The 23,042-nt window shown below is 50.1% G+C and overlaps 5 annotated features.

Annotated features, from left to right (window-relative positions):
* Window positions 300–369: an enhancer, noted in NCBI's record as "active region_10818". NCBI's record gives its function as "activates an Ori minimal core promoter by ATAC-STARR-seq in GM12878 lymphoblastoid cells {active_cell/tissue: GM12878}" and the evidence as "EXISTENCE:reporter gene assay evidence [ECO:0000049][PMID:35858748]".
* Window positions 5,133–5,192: a silencer, noted in NCBI's record as "silent region_7485". NCBI's record gives its function as "represses an Ori minimal core promoter by ATAC-STARR-seq in GM12878 lymphoblastoid cells {active_cell/tissue: GM12878}" and the evidence as "EXISTENCE:reporter gene assay evidence [ECO:0000049][PMID:35858748]".
* Window positions 5,403–5,482: a silencer, noted in NCBI's record as "silent region_7484". NCBI's record gives its function as "represses an Ori minimal core promoter by ATAC-STARR-seq in GM12878 lymphoblastoid cells {active_cell/tissue: GM12878}" and the evidence as "EXISTENCE:reporter gene assay evidence [ECO:0000049][PMID:35858748]".
* Window positions 5,563–5,792: a silencer, noted in NCBI's record as "silent region_7483". NCBI's record gives its function as "represses an Ori minimal core promoter by ATAC-STARR-seq in GM12878 lymphoblastoid cells {active_cell/tissue: GM12878}" and the evidence as "EXISTENCE:reporter gene assay evidence [ECO:0000049][PMID:35858748]".
* Window positions 18,703–19,203: an enhancer, noted in NCBI's record as "H3K4me1 hESC enhancer chr16:50488443-50488943 (GRCh37/hg19 assembly coordinates)". NCBI's record gives its function as "activates a minimal SCP1, AML or CMV promoter by ChIP-STARR-seq in naive H9 embryonic stem cells {active_cell/tissue: H9 hESC(naive)}" and the evidence as "EXISTENCE:reporter gene assay evidence [ECO:0000049][PMID:30033119]".

Below are 23,042 nucleotides of genomic sequence, written 5' to 3'. Positions count from 1 at the left end.
GGAAAGCAGGCGGGGCTTTTGTGAAGTTTCCTCATGGATAAAATGAGATGTAGTGGAAGTGGCAGCCTTCCACTATGGGTCAGATAGTGTCATATTTTGGAAGTGACCCGGGAGCTGTGACTGCTACCTTGTGGGAGAGAAGGTAGCTAGGGTGAGCAGGCACATGAACAGGAAGTAGGATTCTGAGTCATGACAAAGTGCAGCTGCTGAGTGAATCAACACCACTGCAGAGACAATCCCCTTGATGCTTTGCACCTTTCCAAGCAGCTGTCCTCCATTCTGCATGCTTTGTTTCCAATGGCCTACATCTGAAACTTCTTTCAGAACCCTGCCTTTGGGCCAATGGAGCGATTTGCTTGGAAAGGCAGAGAGCTACCATCCATGTGTGGAGATGAGCTCGCTCTGTTCTGCTGGACGTGGTCAAGGAAGCCTGTGTCCCCTCTTGTCACACGCAGCCACCTCTGATGTTAAGGGTGGATGAGATGATAAAGCTCTTCACCATCTAAGCCAGCTTGAGATGGGGTTTCTGTGATGTACAGTCAGAAGCAGTCCAAGTGATCCACGCTCTTGTGAGTGTGGCTACTCCATACACGTATGCACACTTGTGCATATGCACACTCAGGAGTGTGCACACAAACACAAGGCCAATTTTTAAAAACCCAATAGCTTTTATACACAACAGCAGAAAACTAATGAAGTAAAATGGCACAGCCAGTGTGGAAAACAGTATGGCAGTTTCTCAAAAAATTTAACATAGAATTGCCATATGACCAGCAATTCGCCCTTTTGGTATGCCCAAAAGATTTGAAAGCAGAAATTCAAACAGATAAATGTACATCTCTTTGGGGAAAAAAAAACAAACTGTTTTTCCCCTGTTCTCACACTAACACAACAATAATCATCAACATGGAAGACTTCTGAGACCCCAAAATATGTGGGGATTTCACCCCACCAGCAAGCAAGCAACCAATTCTGCAGCAGACACCAGCTGATTGTCTTCCAGTTGCATCAGATCCCACAGGTTGAGCGCTCAGTCCCCAAGACTGCCCCCTGCTTCAGACATCAGTCACAAGTTCAGGCCTCTGGAACTTCTAACTAACTGGCTTCAGGTTGGGGTTCCTATGACACCCCCCCTTGGGTTCCATTAATTTGCTAGAGCAGCTTACAGAACTCAGGGAAACACTTTTACATTCACCAGCTCATTATAGGATATTTTAAGGATACACATAATCAGCCAGATGAAGAGATACACAGGGTGAGGTCTGGAAGAGTCCTGAGAGCAGGAACTTCTGTCCCCGTAGGGTTGGGGTGCATCACTCTCCTGACACGTGGATGAGTTCATGTTCACCTTCCTGTCAGCCACCCCATGATCAGCTTTCAGGAAGCCAAACCCTGTCCTATTGGGTTTTTATGGAGGCTTTCTTACATAGGCATGATTGATTAAACCATTGGTCATTGGTGATCAACTTGACCTTCAGCCCCACTCTCCTCCCCAGAGATTGGTGGGCAGGGCTGAAAGTCCCAACCCTCTAATCTTGCCTTGGTCTTTCTGGTGACCAGCCCCAATCCTGAAGCTTCCAGTCAATTATTAGCATACAAAAAGATATCACTTTGGAGATTCCAAGGATTTTAGGAGCTGTATACCAGGAAATGGGAGCAAAGACCATATATGTATTGCAAAATATCACAACACTTTTTTCATACCAACATTATTCACAATAGTCAAAAGGTGGAAACACCTCAAATGTCCCTTGACGGATGAATGAATAGACTGTGGTATATACATATAATAGAATTATTCAGCCTTAAGAAGGAATGAAATTCTCACACTCATGCTACAGCATAGATGAACCTTGAGGACATTATGCAAGGTGAAATAAGCCAGTCAGAAAGGGGCAAATATTATATATTTCACTTACATGTGAGTACATTATTTCACTTACATGTAATACATAAACTAAGTACATTCATAGAGACATAAAGTACATAGCATGGTGGTTTCCAGAGGTTGAGAAGACGTGGGAATTGGGATTTATTATTTAATGAGTATAGAGCTTCAGTTGGGGGAGATGAAATGTTCTGAAGATGTATGGTGGTGATGGTTGCAAAGCAATGTGAATGTACTTAATGCCACTGAACTGTATATCAAAAATGGTTAAAACGGTAAATTTTATGTTATTTATGTTTTATCACCATTTAAAAAAACACACACAATTTGAAAACATAAAAGAAAAAAAAAATCCCCTTTACAAGAAAAAAAAAAATCCACAAGCTACCTTGGAATAAACTCAACCAGAAAGTCACAGGACCTTGGAGAAAATCCTAAAACTTGACTGAGATGTAAAAGTTGTGGTGAATAAGTGGAGGTATACCATGTCCATGGAGAAAAAGGATCACCATCATAAAGCAGGCAAATCTTTCCAAACTAATCTATAATATGACACAATTTCAGTCAAGACCCCAACAGAATTTTTCATTGAATTCAATAAGCTGATTCTAAAAATTCTATCATACAAGGACTATCATACAAAAAATACAAGTTTTTAAACTTTTGATGAAGTATAACATACACACAGAAAGTGCACAATCATAAATGTGCAGCTCAATAAATCATTACAAAGGGAACATGCCCAGGTAATACATATCCAGATCAATAAATAGAATACTGCCCCGGAAGCCCCCCTTGTAACTTCCCTGCAGTCACTCCCCCGTTTAAAGATAAACACTCCCCTAGCCTCTATCTTAATTGACTAGTTTTGCCTATTTTTAAACTTTCTATATATGGAATCATACAATATGTACTCTTTTGCATCTGGTTTCTTTCACCCAACATCATGATTGTGCAATCCATCCATATTGTTGCCTGAGTTGTCAATCGTCTATTCTGATTTCTGTGTAATATCCCAATATACAACTATCTCCCCATATATTTATCCATTCTACTGCTCACAGGTATTTGGGTAGCTTCCAGCTTGGAGAAGTTACAGATAGAATTCTGGTAGTTGTCTTTTGGTCTACATTTGTGTCTTTTCATTTGTGCACCAAAAGACACAAATGTAGACCAAGAGACAACTACGAGACTTTGTGCACAAATTTTGTTGGGCATATCCCCAAAACTACAAACACATTTTTTAAAAGAACTGAAGATGTTTGTGTAGTGGGTACAAACGGGTCAGTCTTGCTCTACTAGGGATCAAAATAAATTATAAAGCTATAGTAGTTAAAAGGAACACATATTGATACATCCCCAAATACACACACACACACACACACACACACGAGCACAGTCACACATGCACACAGTACTCATGCACGTGCACATACATCCACACATAGGCGTGTACTCCCACCCTCCCAAACTCTACCAGTCAGCACAGACAACTCTCAGGCTGGACTTCCCAGACCAGATAACTGAGTGTCTCGGTCCCTTTCAAGTGGTATCAGAGCACAGGCCTGCAAGTATCCAGGAGACGGCTGATGGAGAAAGGGAAGAAGAGAGAGAGGCCCCCTCCCCCATCCGCCCACTGGCTTTAAAGGGAGAACAAAGTGAGCGGGATCAGAGTGTGCAAGGTGATGGCAGCAACGCTGAAGCCATTTATCACTGCCAGATGTGTGAAGGGTCAGGCTGCGGGGCACGCTGGGAGTGCCAGCAGGGGCGCCTGGACCCCAGACACGGCAAGAAATAACCTATCCAGTCAGCAAGGGACCGCAAAAGGGCTGCCAGGACCCTGTTCTTAACAAAATGACAATGAGCTTTCTTTTTTGTCCGGGCCAGAAGGGGCTGGGGCCAGGGTGGAGGCAGCGACAGCTTAATAAAGGGCCGTCAGTGTCAGTCAAAGCTCTAAAAATACTCTCCCGCTGCCAGCAGGCTCACTCTTGCACCCGCCCGCGGGCTTTCTGCTGCCTGAATGGTCCCTCAGTGACGCACAAGGACAAATGTGTGCCCAGAGAGGCCTGGTGTCAGGTGGCACACATGGTCCAGCTTGTGGCATCTGCCCTCTCCCTCACCCTCACCCCTCCAGGTCCCTCTAACAGGCACACCTGGGGCCAAGAAGGGGGTCAAGAAGGGGGTCAAGAAGGTGCCAGGGTGGTGTGTGCTGGGTGCACACTCCCCACTGTGCTGCTCCATCCACACACAGGAGAGCAAAGACACTAGCCACCTCTCCTTGCAGGTGGCTTCCTACCCCAAAGGCAGCCAGACTTCATAGGAGATCCCAGGTTTGAGGAAGGATACTCATTACTGGCTGTGGAGGCTCCCATTCAGACGGAGGAGGCACCATGGGCTTTAGGTAAGCCCCTGGTCCAGGCCCTAGAACCATCTCTGCTTTTGCTACAGGCCAAGTGTGGAGAAGGAGGTTCAAACCCTGTCCTTAGGGAGATCCCAGCCTGCTGGGGCAAGTGCAGCCACAGCCTTAGAAGCCCTCCTGATCTGATGGAGAAGGCTCAGCTCTTGCCTTGGGGAGTTCCCAGTCTGATGAAGGAGGCACAGCGTCCCAAAGACAGGTTGCCACACAGGGGCAATGAAGGGATTTCAGCCAAAGTGTCCTGACAGCCCTGTGCTCCTCAGACTTTAACTTTGCAACTGAATCACCAGGGATCATTACAAGAGCAGATTTTCGTTCCGCAGCCCTGGGGTGGGGCCTGAGATTCTGCATTTTTGCTTCATGGACACATTGGTTAGTGCAGTAATGAGATCCTGGGTGATGGGGGTGCTGCAGGCGCCTGAGTAGCAGGATGAGACGTGGGGAGGGTGCAGACCTGGTGAGGGTGCAGACCAGAGTTCTCTTGGTTCTTCTGCTGATGGAAACAGCCCTGAGCTGGGGCCCTAAGGAGGGCTCCGTGGAAGAAGCGTAGCAGAATCAGATGCGCAGAGAGAGGACTAGGGAGCCGGCAGGCCCTATTTAAAACTGTGGCTCTGGCATTTATTAGCTGTGTGGCCTTGGGCATGTTTCTTGACCTCTCTGAAGTGAGGACAGCAACGGGTGTGCCCACCTCGCAGGGTGGTGTGACCAGATCCATCACATCCGGCATGCGGCAGGGGCTCAAGACATGCCAGCCACTACGTTTATACTAAACTAACTGCTGTGCCCTCGGATTGGAGAGCCCAAAGGCACCAGAGGGAGATGCCAGCGTCAAGAGACAGAGCCACAACGAAGCGAAAGGCGGGGCTGCAGAGAGGCCCCGGGTGTCAAGAGGCCCTGAGGCCTCGGGCGAGTCCCTGGCCTTTCTGAGCCGGGATCCTCACCTGCAGTATGGGGATCACAGCACCGCCTGCCTCTGTAGCTGTGTGAGAGGTCAGATCGCACGGCGCCTGGCACCCGGTAGGCGCTCCATAAAGCGCTCCACGGGATGGGGGTGGGGTTAACGTGGAAGGCCCCCCGCTGGCCCCGGGCCGGCTGCCTGGGAGGAAGCCAGAGCGCCCTCCCCGCCCCACCCCCACCCGGGCCGCCTTTGAGCCCCGCGCTGCGCTTTGAAGTCCCAGATGGGCCTGCAGGAAAGAGGATCCCGCGCCCAGCCCCCAGCCCGCACCTGGATCAACACGCGCCGCCAGCCCCGCCGCCAGCCTGGGTCCGACGGCCTGGCGGCAGGGACGGCCAGGCGGCCGGAGCCGCCGGGCAGCGGCTCACTTCAAAGCGCCAGCGGCCGCCAGCGGGAGGGGGACCTAATCAGGCCCGGCTGCAGCCGCCTAGGCGCAGAGCCCCGCCCGCCCGGGCTCCCGCCCCCGCCATCTGCTCTGCGTTAGAGCTCGCGCCGCTGGGGGTAGGGGCGGCGGTGGGGGAACGGCCAGTCACCGCCATCCGAGTTGTAAGGCCACAGGCGTCCTCTGCCCCAGCTAATTCCACGCCATCACTGCTTCATCAGTGCACGGTTAGTGGAGTACATCACTGCTTCACGGATGCACTAGTTAGCGCGGTGCATCACTGCTTAATGGATACACTAGTTAGTGTGGTGTATCAATACTTCACCAATGCACTAGTCAGTGCGGTGTATCACTGCTTCACGGATGCACTAGTTAGTATGATACATCACTGCTTCACGGATGCACTAGTTAGTGCTGTGTATCACTGCTTCATGGATGCATGGGTTAGTGTGGTGCATCACTGCTTCACGGAGGCACTAATTAATGTGGTGCATCACTGCTTCATCCATTCACTGGTTAGTGCGGTGCATCACTACTTCATTAATGCATTGGTTAGTGCAGCAAATCTTTATTGAGTGCCTGGTATGTGCTAGGCAAGGGAAATCCATTTTGTTCATTCATTAAACAAACGTTTGTTGAACTCCTGTTTTGTACTAACAGACCCTGGGAGGCACAATTCAGTCATTCCTTCCTTCATTCAATAAACCTTTAAAAAATATAGAGATGGGGTCTTGTTGTGCCACCTAGGTTGGAGTGCAGTGATGCGATATCCGCTCACTGCCATCTCCAACTGCTGGGCTCGAGTGATCCTCCTCCTACCTCAGCCTCCTGAGTAGCTGGGCCTACAGGTGTGCCACCACGCCCAGCTTTTTTATTTTCTGTAGAGACAGGGTTTTGCCATGTTGCCCAGCCTGGTCTCAGACTCCTGACTTAAAGTGAACCTCCTGCCTCAGCCTCCCAAAGTGCTGGGATTACAGGTATGAGCCACTGTTCCAGGCCAATAAACCATTTTAAAAAAAAAGAAAAGAAAAAAACAGCAACATCTTGATTTTAAATAAGTAATTTTTTAGTGTTGACTGCATGCAGTTACTGCCCCCCAGGTTCATCTTCCTCCCTCCCCACTCGCAGTCACACCCAACCCATTCACCAGCTCCTCCTTGCCTACTCCAAGATCCAGCACTTGTTCTTCCTTCCTGGAATGCCCTCCTCTGCCCTGGACAAACTTCCTACTCATCCTTGAAGAGCCCAGGTTAAAAACTTCCTCCTTTGTGAATCCTTCTCTACCTTTTCCAGTCCCCATTCCGCACCCACTGGGTGCTTCTCTCCCACTAAAGGATACACAGCCTTGAATGAGAGGGATTTATTCCTTTTCAGGGCCTGTGTGCCCCCCACAAACTGGCAGCCCCAATCTAGACCCTGTCAGTGGGCAACTGTGTGGTTCTTATAACCTTTCTGTGGCTCTATTTTCTCCTGTGGGATTTGAAAAGGCCTTGCAGGGTTGTGGAAAACAAGGTGGGTTAGACACAAAGCCAGGCCCAGGCAAAATACCTGGTAGAAGGTAGCCATGGTTGCTTGATTGTTTCCACAGCCCTCTGGCTCCAGGAATGAAAGCTGAGTTCATGCTCTCTCCTCCAGGAAGCCCTCCTGATCTGAAACTAGGCTTCCTCTCCCTCTGCTGAGATCCTGCCAGTCTTAGTCAGCCCACTGGCTGCTGGCATCCAGCTGCTCCTGCATGCTTGGGGCTTGCTGAGCCTGTGTCCTGGGCCCGAGGCTCCAAAGGGCAGGGAGCTGGCCCCATGTCTCTCTCTTTTCTCCCCCTGCAATGCCTGGTACATTGAACACCCTGGATCCAGCAGCCAAGGGTCCCTCTCAGGCCCTTGCTCTGCCCAGCGGGGAGCTGGGGCTAGGTAGGCTGCTTAGGTACTGGGCTATGTCCCCTAGAGGTGCAAGGAGGTGCCTAGGGGCAGGGGTTTTACACACAGGCAGGATGGTGGGAGTGCAAGTCACCTGCCATACCAACCTACTGGCTGTCTCATGCCCAAGAGCTAAGTATCATCAGGCTTCAGCTTTGAGAGCCACTGAAGTCTTTTTGGAAGCCCCAGGAGCTCTAAAGAGGGTAACCTCGGGGAATGAAGCTAGAGCATCTGTCCAGGAGACCATCAGGCTGGAGTAGCCTGGGTTGGAGTGAATCAGAAAGGGGCTCAATTCCTGGAGATACTGGCAGACAGGCAGGAAGAGCACTGGACCCCTGGGTCATGACCCTTCTTGTGCCCTCAGGTCCTCTCTCCCTTCCTCTCTGTCCTCTGCTTCCGGCCAGCTCACAATCTCTGTCCTTCTTGCGGGTTCCATGTCTCTCCTGGCTTGTGGTCACCTGTGGGGCAGCGGGAAGGAGCCTGAAGAATGAGGTGCTTGGAAAAGTCCCAAGCATAAGGCCTGCAGACAGTAAATGAGTTGTGGGTGTTGGGTGGGTTGGGAGAGATACGTGTTTAAGCTGTACGTAGACTTGTGAAAAAAAGACCTGGGTTTGAGTCCTGACTTAGTCCCTTACTAGCTGGGGGACATGGAGGGGTCTCCTCAGCAGACCTGTGACGGAATCCTGGAAGGCATCCCAGGTGTGGCAGCCGGTCCTCCTGGCATCCCTCGAGGCAGAGCACATGACTTCCCACCACTTTTTCCAAACACACCCTGCATTCTCACTCCCCAAGGGAAAACCATGCTTGGTCCCCATGCAAGATGGAGCTTGATTTCATGTCGAGCTTTCTCTACCACGTGGGCTTTCTGTGGGTGCAACTGACCAGTTGAAACCCCCAGGAAGAAGCACTGGGGTGAGGATTCAAGGGCATGTGATGTGCTCAGGGAGTGCGCCCAGGGGAGACAGGCAAGACAATGGGAGAAACAGGCTGGGACGCGAGGGTGTGAGCTCAGGCAAAGTCCTGCAAGAGGCAGCTTCAACCTGATCCTGCAGGGACTCTCAGGAGGGAACAGTTACACCTCAAGTTGTCCCAACCTGAGGCAAGGGAGTGGGCTTTCATACTCCTGCACCAGTGGAGGAAGGTGAACCCCACTGCGGTGTGGACAAAGCGAGTTGCAATACCCTGGGGAGTCCTCCAAAAACCAGCTGCTGGTGCTAGCCCTTGACAGCACACAGAAGCGGGGTGGGGGTGCTCAGAAATGGAAAAAAGAGTCCCAGGGAATCTGGGCTGAGGACCAAGGTCCACCAGTGGAGCCCATCCAAGATCTCCTTTGGCCGTACCCCTTGGAACACTTTCCGGGAAAATAGCCCCCTGGAGGCAATCGCAGGTGTGGCGGCCACCAACAGGTTCACAGACGCTCCGGATAGGTCCAAAATGTCCTGCTAGGTATACAGATAGGTCCAAAATGTCCCAGGGCCCATTGTCAGGGTACTGGTGCCTCCACCAGGTGGCCTTGGCACATGTGGCCTGCGAGGAGGGTTCACAAAGTCATAATTTGACCAAGTGACTGCCCAGCTGAAAAAGGCTCCCTCTCGAAGTCAGGACAGACCAGGGCTTGAGAGCCCAAGGGTATCAAAAAACCTGGTCCCACCATGTACCAGCTGTGTGTGTCCGGGATCAATATTTCACCTCTCTGAGCCTTAGCCTCCTCCGCAGTAGGATGGGGATAGTTATGACCATCACTGAGTACTTACAGTGAGCCAGACACCATGCTGAGCTGCTGTGAGACTGCTGGGCTTCCCAGGACCCTACACCTCACTTTTCACAGGCAGTGGGGCCTGTACAATCTTACCACCCAAACACCTATCTTGAATACCACTCATGTCCCCAGTGAAAAAAAAAAAAACTATTTCTAACAATCCTCATGCTAATTAACAAACCCTGGTGTTGCCTTTGTTAACAATGTTGGAGAGTGTAGACTCCTGATGAGAACCCTTCATTTATTACTTTACCATCCCTGGCAGGGGCACCATGTACAGATGCACAGGTTGTACACTGCACAACTCCAGGAGGTACCACAACAAAAACCACAGTATAAATGGCACTCCTTGGAACTTTTTAGTGCCCAACTTGTTCAATATGCTCCCTCAGCCCTGAACCCAACAATTTGGATTCCTGATTTCAGTAGTTCAGATGCTAACGTCCATCTCTAGGATGTAATCTTGTGTACACATATTCATCACATGGTTAATAGTGAGGCACTTTTAAGGTCATCACACAGGCAATAAAGCAAGACATTAGCCCTGTGCCTGGCACACAGCAAACTTGGTAAATAGTACCTATGACTTTGATTTTGCCTCCAGCATTTTTCTGCCCAAACCCCAGGACTGGAATGGACTTTGGCTTTCAGAGTCCCAGCCCCAGCTTTGCAGGCCCTTCTAGGACAACCCAATGGGCTAGGAATCCTCACTCCACCCCCGACTCCCATTCCTCAGGCCTCTGCTCCCATTAAGAGTGGCCCCCGCCCTGGCCCAAGCCAGTCCCTTCCCCTGGGGAGAGAAAGGGTTGGATCACTGCATCCCTTCTCTTCTCAGGGTTCAAAGCTACCACTGGTCCCCACGCAGCCAGCTTGATTTGTTTCTTATCTTTAATTTTTTTTTAATCGGGCAGATCCCCTCCAGTTACTTTTTCCGCAGCATCTTACAGCATCTTTGGAGCGGGCAACAAAAGCATTCTTTTTGGAGCCAGCGGGGGCCCAGGGCAGAGCCACTTCAAAGGGAATGCAAAGCGGCAGCGATGTCCCTGTCATTGTCCTCCCCTGTATGCCTGCCCCCCATTGTCCTGAGGCCGCCCTGAATAGGCAGGCACAAAGGCCACACGTTCAAAGTGGGCACCACACGCTCCTTCAGAAGGCCAGCCTCTGTCTCTGCTCTGGTCCCTTCATCCTCACAGGCACAGGTTTCCAGCCAGGGAGGGGAGCTGGCCTTGAAGTGGTTTTTTTTCCCCTCTCTCTTCTGTTGTTTCTCTCTCTCTCTCATTCTCTCTCTCTCTCTCTCCCTGAGCCAAAACTTATGATTACATTTTAAAGCGGCATCTGATCAGCAACCTTTCCCTCTCACTTTCTCTGCAGAACAAGTGGGATTCGCCCCAGGCTGCAGGTCTGCTGCAGGACTGCTGGGGCTCTCATGTGGGATGGGAGCCTAGGTAGGGCTGTTGGCCCCTCTGGGAAGCAGATGAATCATTTTTAGCTACTCGGGTAACAGGGAGGGGTGAATTTCAGTCCTGGCACCAGGGAATCTGAGACCTGCTGGGCTAAGTGGGAATTTAGAGATAGATTATTCAACTTCGATTTTATAGAAGAGGAAACTGAGGCCCACAGATGCAGAGCAACTTGCCCTAGGGCTTACAGAGAGGCTGGGACACAGCTAGGATTGAATCCAGGTGTCTTGACACCCAGTCCAGTGTTCTTTTATTTCCTGGTGCCCAGAGAAAGCCCCTGAGCCAGGGGAGACCTGAAGGCTTCAGCTGCTCACAGAACACCCAGTCACCATAGGGAAAATATACCAGGCCAGGCAAGGTGGCTCATGCTGTAATCCCAGCACTTTGGGAGGCCGAAGCGGGTGGATCATTTGAGCTCAGGAGTTCAAGACCAGCCTGGGCAACATGGCAAAACCCCATCCCTACTAAAAATACAAAAATTAGCCAGGCATGGGGGTGCACACCTGTAGTCCCAGCTACTTGGGAAGCTGAGCTGGGAGGATCACATGAGCCTGGGAGGTGGAGGCTACAGTGAGCCAAGATTGCACCACTGCACTCCAGCATGGGTGACAGAGTGAGACCCTGTCTCAAAAAGAAAAAAGAAAACACATCAAACTACAGAGAGAGTCAACAAGGCTGGGATTTTGTTTGTTTGTTTCGTTTTGAGACAGAGTCTTGCTCTGTAGCCCATGCTGGAGTGCAGTGGCATGATCTCAACTCACTGCAACCTCCACCTCCCAGGTTCAAGTGATTCTCATGCCTCAGCTTCCTGAGTAGCTGAGATTAGAGACTTGAGCTGCCACGCCTGGCTAATTTTTGTATTTTTAGTAGAGATGGGGTTTTGCTATATTGGCCCGGCTAGTCTTGAACTCCTGACCTCAAGCGATCTGCCTGTCTCAACCTCCCAAAGTGCTGGGATTACAGGCATGAGCCACCGTGCCTGGCCAAGGATGGGATTTATATGCTGTTCCTTTGAACCAACTCTGAGCACCCTGCCCTCCTGAGACTATGAGGCACACTCTATGGAGAGAAAACGGAGGTCAAGGCAGCAACTCCAGGCCTAATGGAGTGCATCTCAGTACCTGATCTCCTGAGGTGTGAGGTATTCACATGGCAGAGGAGATGGCAGATGCCCCAAGGAAAACAAAGCCCCAGTCTTCAGGAATGTGACAGCAACAGGAGTCATAATAGCTATCATTTCAGGACTTAGGTACCACAAGCCTGGCACTTGACACAGTATCAAACTCGACCCAAAAATCCTGGAGGAGAGATACTATTATTATCTCCTTTGAGGGAGAAGGAGAGCGAGGCTCAGAGAGGTTAAGTAACTTGCACAGAGTCCCACAGCTAATTAGTAACAGAGCTGGTACTTGAATCCTGCTCTGCCTGATTCAGTGGGACATTAAACGGCACCTGTCCTTTGGCCCTGAGTTGTCCTCACAGGCACACTGTGTGCAGTGCCTCAGGATCAGGCCCTTGGGAATAGGAATGGGAGGGGGAAATGATCACCTCGTCCAATCAAGTCGGTGAGTCTGAATTGAGAGACTGAGCAGCATCTCTGGCCCTGAGGTCAGAAGCTCCAGGAGAGGGGAGCAGGCAGGGAAGACCCTATCGTCAGAAGGCAGGAGATGCATGTGTGGAAGCAGCCAGGCCCGATGTCAGCAGCGGGCTCCCTAGAGTCAGCCTGAACTTGGGTTCAAATTCCAGCTTTGCTGCCTGAGCCACCTGACCTCGGGCAGCCATCCACAGAATGGGCAGTGGCGTCTGCCCTGCGGGAAAAGAGCCTCGGGCAGCACCCAGCACACAGGGAAAGCTCGAGAAATGGTACAGCTGCTGTTGCTTGAAAAAAAATCAGGAAAACAGGACAGGGGAGGCAGAGATTTGTTTGAGGCCTGAGTATCAGTCCCTGGGGCCAGGAGAGCAATTGGCAGAGCTGCGGGCAGAGGGCAGGACCTGGAGACCAGGAGCAAGGGGTGGGAGGCGGGGCAGCTGAGTAGCTGGAGCCAGGAGCACACCTGACCTGGGGATGGCTTCAAGGACAGTTCCGGAAAGAACCCAGCAAGACCAAGAGAAGCAGAGCCCCACAGCCCGGAGATGGGACAGGCTCGAGAGGACTGGGCTGGGTGGCCAGGGCTACTGGGCCCAGCCTCAGTAGGCCCCAACGCTTGGCCCAGCTCAGCCGACTGGCTTGCTGTGTGACCAAGGGGCAAGGGAAACCCCTCTCTGAAGCTCAGCTTCCTTCACCTGTGAAATGAAGGGGGTGCTCTAGTTTTATGGAGAATTGTTTCTGTGCCCCAAAAAGGCTTGGGGGAAGGGCCTGCCAAGGGAACAGGCTCCCACCTCAACTGCAACCAGTGCAGTCCCCCTGAACTGGCACAAATTGGGCCCTGGCTTCAGGGTGCACTGGAACCCATGTGTGTGCTGGCTTTAAAAGAGCAAGTTTGAAAACTGCCCCAAAGTTTGATGAAAAACAGATGTCCTGAGCATCCATGCAGTGCCAGGTGCTAATGAAGACGCATGTGAGCCAATCCCTGCCCTCAAGGAGCTTTCGGCTGATGGGGAGACAGACAGAGAGAAACTTCCAGGGAAATGGAGTGGTGGGTTTACCCAGGACTGGGAGGAGCATGGGCTGGGGACGCAGGCTTCTGGCTTTTGAAGCTGATCTCTCTCCGTTTCTTTCATACACACAGAGCCCGAAGCAATCCCTAAGACACCCATAGCTCCAGAACCCACTTACATCCACCTGCCTGTGTCTGGGACCCATAGAATGAGCTTGCTCCAGGAGAAAAGATGGAAAAGTCTATACTTGCTCCAAAGCAAGGGCTTCCGGGTCATCTCTCTGGAACCCTGGCTAAGTCTCACAGGCCAAAAAGCAATGAAAATATGACTAACAGCTAAAAGTGACTACTGCGTGCCAGGCATTGTACTAGACACATTCTATCTATTCACCATTTAACACTGCAAGACAAAGAGAAGTGGCCGAGGCTAGAGCCAAACCCAAGCAGCCCCTGCTCACAGGCTGGGCTCTTGACCACTGCACATTATGGCACACGCGGCAGGCCAGCTTCCTGAAGGAGGCAGACACCATTAATTAATTTCCTTAGAGGTGCTCAGAAAGAAATTGGGACTCAGAATGAGACTCCCCTGCCTTCGCCCCACGGCCTCCTGACGACTGGGTCAATTCCATCTCTGTGTTAAGGCACGCAAATTTGGCTTAATCTCATTCCCGCAAACAAATCAGCCTAATGAAATCTTTTTTTGTAAATGAATTCGTGGAGGAAACAGCTGAGTGTAAACAGTGTTGTAGCGTCGCCTGTTTAGACACCATTGACTTTCAAATCAGCCTGCTTCTCCATCCTGCATGGCAGAAATAGAGTCAAAATGCAAATGTAGCATAAACGACTCTATAATAAATGCTCATTCAACATTTATTCTTTCTCAAATCATCTCTTAAAGCCCTTTCATGCTAATGTCTAGGAGAAGTGACATTAGAAAAATTGCTTTGACATGCTAAGGGGCTCCAAGATTAACAAAAAGAGAAAGGACAAGATAAAGCTTTCGGAAGACCTATTTCAGAGGAATTATTCCCGCCTTTGAAAGTGTTCCAAGGTTGCCGCACATCTCAGCTTGTTGGCATACATGTAAATGAAGTGCTACAAAAGTCCTCGGCTAAATTCCACTCAAATGAAAGCTCCCAGCCACCGGCACGGCGACAGGGAGGGTGGCCAGACTTCAGGATGAATGCTGAAGGGGGCTGGAGGGGGCTTTCTTGTCCTAAAGGCAGATGAGAGCGGGCTCCAGCCCAAGCCAAGGGATAAAAATGTCAGGGTCGAGCCTGGTTGATGTGGTCGGCACCTGGCTGGCTAGTTGAAAAAGGAACACCTGCATCTTTTATCAAACAAATTATCCAGCCTACCTGCAGCTGCTGGCCCAACCACCATCCTTGCCTCTTATGTGTTGTGTAAGTTGGCAAACCTCTCTAAGTCTCTCTTTAGAATAGAGATAACAAGAGGACCCACTTAGAGAAGATTCAGTGACGAAATGCATGTAGTGCTCCGTGCAATGACTGACACTTAGTAAGTGCTCAAGAAGTTGTTTGTGGTTAATGTCATGATTATGCCTTGGCATTCTCGAGCGCAGATTGGAGGCAGGAGAAAGAGCAAGCCAGGTGGCAGATGAGCAGAGATGTCACCGATGCAGTAACCAACATCCAGATAGGCACAGTGACCATTCTGTTACTGGAAAGGGATCCCGATCCAGACCCCAAGAGAGGATTCTTGGACCTCGCACAAGAAAGAATTCAGGGCAAGTCCATAAGTAAAGTCTATGCAAGTTTATTAAGAAAGTAAAGGAATCAAAGAATGGCTACTCCGTAGGCAGAGCAGTGGCTTGGGCTGTTCACTGATTATACTTGTAGTTATTTCTTGATTACATACTAAACAAGGGGTGGATTATTCATGAGTTTCCCAGGAAAGGGGCGGGCAATTCCCTGAACTAAGGGTTCCTTCCCCTTTTAGACCATATAGGGCAACTTCCTGGCATTGCCGTGACATTTGTAAACTGTCATGGTGCTAGTAGGGGTGCCTTTTAGCATGCTAATGCATTGTAATTAGGGTATAGTGAGCAGTGAGGAAAACCAGAAGTCACTTTTGTGGCCATCTTGGTTTTGGCCAGCTTCTTTACTGCCTCCTGTTTTATCAGAAAGGTTCTTTGTGACCTGTACCTTGTGCCGACCTCCCATCTCATCCTGTGACTTAGAATGCCTCACCTCCTGGGAATGCAGCCCAGTAGGTCTCAGCCTTATTTTCTCCCAGCCTCTATTCAAGATGGAGTCGCTCTGGTTCGAATGCCTCTGATGATTCCAGCACCCCCATCTATAGAGATGGATGGTTCACAGCCAAGTCTGCTGCATGGTCCATAAGGATCTACTTTGAATTAAAGAGCTGCACGACATTCCCAGACACTACGTTTCAGAGCAAGCTGAGTGTGCTGTGGACATCATTCTTAAAGACTGGAGTGTCTTATAGTTTTCTAGAGAGGAAGAGAAGGAACACTCACTGAGCATCTTTTAAACAGTTTCTGTCATTAATCTTGGTGACAGCCCACCGATGTTGATATTCTCACTTTAAAGACTTCCACATTCATCAGATTAGACAGAATGCTCTAATCATCCTAAAACTTCAGTGGCTTAAAACAATAAAAGTTTATTTCCTGTTCACCCAGTAGCCTATAAGGGTAGTGTCTGTGGGTGGGGCTCCCTGGGGCGGCTTTTCTTCAGTGGTGACTCAAGGGCCATGCTCCTTCTGTCTTTAGTCTCACAGAAAAGGACAATAAAGGGTCGTGCCTGAGATGGTTTTCCAGGACAAGCCTGGGGTGGGGATTCCCTTCGGCCCAAATTTTGTTGCCAGTCACATGGCAGGCAGGGAAGTGTGGTTTAGCTGTGGTGCCCAGGAGGAAAAAGAACCACTTAGTGAAAACAGGAAAGCAGATTCAGAGAAACCGAGTGACTTGTCAAGAAGAAACCGACTTTGGGAGGCCAAGATGGGCAGCTTGCTTGAGCCTAGGAGTTCAAGACCAGCCTGAGCAACATGGCAATACCCCATCTCTACTAAAAATACAAAAATTAGCCAGGTGTGGGAGTGCACACCTGTAGTCCCAGCTACCTGGGAGGCTGAGCTGGGAGGATCACTTGAGCCCAGGAGGTCAAGGCTTGCAGTGACCTGTGATTGCGCCACTGCTCTCCAGCTTAGGCAACAGAGTGAGATCATTTGTTTAAATCCAAACAAATGAAAATTTAAAAAAGAAAAAGAAACAGAGCAGTTAGCTAAGGTGCAAGACCCATCACCTGCTCTTTGGAGGCCTCGCCATCTTTGCTACCATCAGCATATCATCAGCAATAATGATAGGCATTTATTGAGCACCTGCTGTGTGAGACTCTGTTGTGGCACTGAGAATCAGAGCTGGGTAAGAAACAAGTCATGTTCTGGGAGTGAGAACACCAATGGCATCCAGCCCGAGTTATGGACAAAGTTGATGTTACTGAGAATCTGAGCTCCCAGAGCCTTCTGGATGCGAGAGCTAGAGAAAGGAAGAGGAACCAGGGCTGATCAGTGAAGGCTGACTCAGAAAGATGGAGAGGATGAGGTTAGGATTCCAGAAAGGGAAAGGGATGCCTGAGGAGCCCACACTGAAGATGGTTTGTGGGGTGAGAGGCGAGGCTGGCACGTGGGTGGATAACCAGTGGTGAAGGGCCTGGAAGGTCAAGACTGAGGACTGCATGAGCTGTGGAGAGCTTCCAGAAAGGAGTGGAGCAGGTGCTGGTGGCATCCTCCCCAGATGTCTGGGCTTTCTCCCTCCAACATCCACATCTCTCTACCCGAGGGCTTCTCTGATGGCCAGAGCCCCAAGCTGCTAGAAAATTAACACTCCCTGGGAGCAGCCCTCAAACTTGTGTCTAAATACCCCAGATCCCTCCTGCTTGGTGAGGTGGGAGAACTCAGAAGTATGTCTTCCACACTGCTTCCCAGATTCCACAGCAAGATTGCATTCCAGCTGTCCACATGGGCACCTGGATGGACAACATGCCTGGTATTGCCTGCCTTCCTTTCCCCATCTCACCAACCTATGCCTTTGCTGGCGTTTCCTGGGACCATCTTCCAGACAAACCACCAGAAACCAAATTTACACAGCTGCAACATGACTCCGTCATAATCACAGTCGAATTTGCTGGCAGGTATCCATCCACCAAGTGACAACTTAGCAAACTCATCCCCTTGTCACAGTAGCGCGATGTGGCTGCAGATTCTGGTTGGAGGAGGTGAGCCCAGTTTTTGTGAGAGGAGACCTGGGGACCTTCCCAGCTCCTCTGCCTTCTCATCTCCTCTCCTCGGAGCCACTCCCCTGGCTCTCACAGAGGCTTCTTGGGCTGGGGAATGGGGAGCATGAGGAAGTGTAGCTTCAAGGGAACACACACACACACACACACACACACACACACACACACATATATATATAGCGACAGTCAAAAACACATCAGAACTGTCAAAAGCACATGGAATCAGCTAGTAAACTGTGAAACCCAAGCCACAGTTCTACGTTTTATGGTGTGAAAAATACAAGAAAATCAAATTGAAAAAATAAATAGAAGGCCCTGCGCCAGGGAGAAGTTGGCCAGATTTGCTGGTGCCCCAGGGCAGGGCAGTATAATGGAGTATTCTCACCTCAGACTGTGCAGTGGCTCGTGAAGATCAGACTGCCCAGCCCATAATTGTTTTAGTTCTGCTACCTCTATTGCCTGAGGCCAGGCTCCCCAGAACCACATCCTGAGACAAGGATTTGAAAACTGGGAGTTTATCTGGGAGGTGGTTCTAGGAAGCACTGGCAAGAGGCAAGAGATGGGGGGAGGGAAGGGAGCCAGTCGGGGTGCATGGACGAGCAGGTCACCGCTGCGGGCCCCTGGGGCTGAGGCTCACTGGGGACTGTAAGAGAGTTGTCCCACCAAGGGGTAGGGATGCTGTCAGGCATTGGTTGAAGTCTGATCCCAGGGATGTTGGCTCTTCCATACTTTTGCTATGCAAGTCCCAGCAGCCAAACAAAGCCTCCAGAAAGAGCCACAGAGGTTGTAGCAGGGGGCCAAAGGGTCAGCCTTCAGAGCTGAGTGCCAGTCACACTTGTTACACCCAAGGGGAAAGGGACAGGGTTCCTGTTCTCAATAACTGCAGCCAGTGTTTCCTAAAGTAGAGAGCAAAGAAAATTTTCTGTGTAGGGGCCAGCTTCGTCATGCTCCCCAAGATCCCCACAAGGTGGAGGGAGGGGTCTTTTCCCCCTCTGCTCAGCGCTAAGACCGATCCCCAGCCTTGTCCACCTTTGGATGCTGAAATGGCCCCATTCTCAGGCTGTCTTCTGGCTCCTTGTAAAGAGAGAACCTGGCCAGTCGCAGTGGCTCACGCCTGTAATCCCAGCACTTTGGGAGGCCAAGGCAGGCAGATCACAAGGTCAAGAGATGGAGACCATCCTGGCTAACACAGTGAAACCCTGTGTCTACTAAAAATACAAAAAATTAGCCGGGCATGGTGGCATGCGCCTGTAGTTCCAAGTACTCAGGAGACTGAGGCAGGAGAATCGCTTGAACCTGGGAGGTGGAGGGTGCAGTGAGCCAAGATCACACCACTGCATTCCAACCTGGGTGACAGAGCTAGACTCCATCTCAAAAAAAGAAAAAGAAAAAAAAAAAAAGAAAAGACAGAAGTTACGGCACACTCTAAGCGATTCGGGCCTCCTTCAACAGGAGCTGTGCCGCAGCGTGTTTGGGGCATGCCTTGCCCTGATCACCAGTGGATTGAGCATCTCCTCATGCCTTGGCTGCAGGCTGACACCCAGCCAGGCAGCAGCCCTGGCGTGCCCACGGGTACCCATCCTCCTTCATCAGCCCTACACACTGCCTCTCCTGGGATCCACCTCTTCCCACTTTTGCCCACTTACTTTCCCATGGAGTTGTTTGCCATCTTTTTCACATTTGGTAGGTTAGTTGAGTAGTATGGATAGGAACGCTTTTCAGGTATATGCATGCAAATAACATTTCCCGGTTCTGTCGATAACGTCTTCTGTGGCATGGGAGGTCACTCGTCCTGACATAAAGTCTTAACAGTTTCTCAGCTGTAAGGTGGGGACTGACTAACTGGGCTCCTAACTGGGACCTCCATCATAAAGCAGAGGCTCACACGCCAGTCTTCAGGTTTGACCAGGTGCTGCTGGAAACCACAGATAAGGCCATGTGGGCCATTCTGGGGCCGAGTGCAGTGGCTCACGCCTGAAATCCCAGCACTTTGGAAGGCTGAGGGTGGGTGAATCACCTGAGGCCAGGAGTTTGGGACCAGCCTGACCAACATGGTGAAACCCCATCTCTACTAAAAATACAAAAATTAGCTGGGTGTGGTGGCACGCGACTGTAATCCCAACTACTCAGGAGGCTGTGGCAGGAGAATAGTTTGAACGCGGAAAGCGGAGGTTGCAGTAAGCCGAGATTGCGCCATTGCACCCAGCCTGGGCAAAAGACCAAGACTCCATCTCAAAAAAACAAAAGAAGAAGAGAAAGAAGCAATCATCAGTGAGGCCTTGACAATGAAAATGCCAGAAGACCCTGGCGGGGAGTCCTCTAAACCCAAGATGTCTGAGCCTCCATGACCCCAGGTGGGGATCCTCCCACGAGACTCGCCCAAACCCACACGCTGACAAGGACTCTGCCAGGAGGAGGGTGGGAAGGCCTAGTATGGCTAAGCCCATGGATTACCAGTGTCTGCCGAGCCCCGCTGGCCATGCCTGGGCACTGCCTCATGGGGGCCAGTGGAACTAGGACCCTGCCCCGAGAAGCTTCAGTCTAACTGGGAAAAAGGAGATAGACTTGGGACAAAATAGCATCATAAGTGGGTAAGGCCTTGGCCTCTGTATCTGACTTACCTGCTGTGTTACCCTGGACTAGTTCTTTGACTTCTCTGAGCCCCAGCCTCTTCATTTGTAAAATAGGATAATAAAATTTACCTCCTAGCATTGTCCTAGGAGTGAAACGAGATCCTACCTGTAGCACAATGCCTAGGCACATGGTAAGTGCTATAAAAACTGTTCATATTGCTGTGTGAGGTCTGAAGGAGTAGCATGAAGCTGCCTATAAAAGAAAAACTAAGTTCTGTTGCATTAGGCCTGAGGAAAGGCTTGAATTAGGGGTGCATAGGGATGAGACAAAGAATCCTGCAATGTTCGAGGTAGAAGTAACCTAAGGAATCAGAACTGGACCAAGATGTGCAGGTCCCTCAGGAGGCTCATAGAATGTAAAGATCTATTCACTCCCAACTTCGAAAAGCCAAACCCTGTGCTCACTGCCCTCAGCCTTTCTTCTTCTGCTGCTTCTCCAAGCAATTCAGCTCTCGCCCCAAACTCACATCCTGCATTCAGCCAAACAACAGTCTAAAGTTAACAGCACCATCTAACTTAGAAGACAACTTGGGGACCATCCTTTGTTACTCATGCATGCTCCTTGGGGTCTTACCCCTACCTCCAACTGACTTATCAAAGAGTTTCTTCCAGAACCACGGAAGTGTTCTTCCAGTACACCCCCGATGGTGAGGCCCAGCAAACACAACTCTTCCCATCTTGCTTCATTTCCAATGACCCTGCTACCCAACCCATCACTTACACAAGCCCTCTTAAGAATCACCTAGGCCAGGCATGATATGGCTCATGCCTGTTATCCCACCACTTTGGGAAGCTGAGGTGAGAGGTTTGCTTAAGCCCAGAAGTTCAAAACCAGTCTGGGCAATATAGTAAGACCCCACCTCTAGAGAAATAAAAAATAATTAGCCAGGCATGGTGGCACACAGCTGTGGTCCTAGCTACTCAGGAGGCTGAGGTGGGAGGATCGCTTGAGCCCTGGAAGTTGAGGCTGCAGTGAGCTACGATCTCACCACTGTGCTCCAGCCTGGGAGACACAGCAAGACTCTGTCTCAAAACAACAACAACAACAATAACAACAACAACAACAAAAAATCATCATCATCATCTAGTCTCCATTTGATGGTAGAAGAAACAAAGACTCAGAGAGGGTAAGTGACTAACCGAAGGCCACACAGCAGGTTAGAGACAGGGATAGACCTCCTGACTTTCCACCTAGTACTCCTGCCAAAGAACCCACTCAGTCCCCTATGTCTGGCTAGTATGGTCAGCACACCCCACCTTGGAGCTTTCACCCTCCAGGGCCCTTGAGCTAGCTGTTGGGACCCCTGATGAGGGAGACCAAGGGTGGGTGCCAACTTCTGAGATGGACCCGCATGGCCAACCCCAGGCACTCCCGCCCATCCCACCACCAACTCCACTAATACATATTTTATGGGGCCGTTCTCCCTTCCTTGCAAACGGTGTCATTAATCTGCTCCCTGGCTGTGCAGAATAACATCCCTCAAGAACAGACCGCTTTCTGAATATTTTATCATTCCTCATTTCTTCTCCCCAAACTAATATATATTTACACAGTCTACCTCCTGCAGGAGAACTATATCGTTTTCTCCTGGTGCCTGAGAACTTAGACACAGAATTGCGTATAAGTAAAAAAATATATGCCTTGCTATTGATGTTGAAAGCAAGAACCAATCATCTATCAAGCTGTGAGGGAAGCCAAGAGGAAGATTTACGTATGGTAAAAGAAGAATAAAGCAGACCCCCACCCCACAGAGGCCTTGAATGAGAGGAGGCAGACATCTCTTCTCTTTCTCTAACAGACTTTCCACGCAATCCTTCCTGCAATTGGCAGACCTCAGCGGTGGGGAGAGCAAGGAGCTCTTTTGTTAGCAAGGTCAAAAACCTCCTACTTGGAGATCCAAACAGAAGAGACCAAAGTTCTTGCAAAGTTTGACAGCGCCATTTGTATCATCCTGGAATATTTATTAGAATGAGGACTCCAACATGTGTGTGGCCCTATTGCTTCCTCCTGCATTATTCTGTTTTGACCTCCCCCGCAAAACAGGCTTGTTGGATGGGAAGGCAGAGATGGTGACCCTCATTTTACAAATGATGGTAAACAGACTCAGAGAAGGTAATGTACTGGCATGCAGATGTAGCAAAGGGGTTTTGTTTTGTTTTAAGCTATTTAACAGTTGGCTCCAAAGTCCCATTTAGAGAGAAACATTTGCAGGAGGGGCATGGTGGCTCATGCCTATAATCCTAGCACTTTGGAAGGCCGAGGCAGGTGGATCACTTGATGCCCAGAATTTGAGACTAGCCTGGGCAACATAGTGAGACCCTGTCTCTACAAAACATTTTAAAATTAGCTGGTCATTGTGATGTGCACCTGTAGTCCCAGCTACACCAGAGGCTGAAGCGGGAGGATCGCTCGAGTCCAGGAGTTCAAGGCTGCAGTGAGCTATGATGGCACCACTGCACTTCAGTCTGGGAGACAGAGTGAGACCCTGTCTCTAAAAAAAATAAATAAGTAAAGACAATATTTATTCAGAAAAATGATTTGGTGGGGCCCTGAAGGCATGTTTGAAGGTAATGATAAACTCCATCCCTCTGCAGAAGGGTTTAGCAGGAAGGTGAGGTGAGCTGGAGAAATCAGTGAGCTGGCATGGCAGGAGCCCACATGGAAAGGTATTGAGTGAAGAACTTCTATGGGGCAAGGGCTCAGGGGCTCTTCCAGAGGAGGTGACTCATACTGATTCTAACATGTCCACATCTGTAGCATA

Source organism: Homo sapiens, chromosome 16 (assembly GCF_000001405.40).
Source record: "Homo sapiens chromosome 16, GRCh38.p14 Primary Assembly".
Taxonomy (NCBI): domain Eukaryota; kingdom Metazoa; phylum Chordata; class Mammalia; order Primates; family Hominidae; genus Homo; species Homo sapiens.
This window is presented reverse-complemented; position numbering and strand designations above follow the sequence as displayed.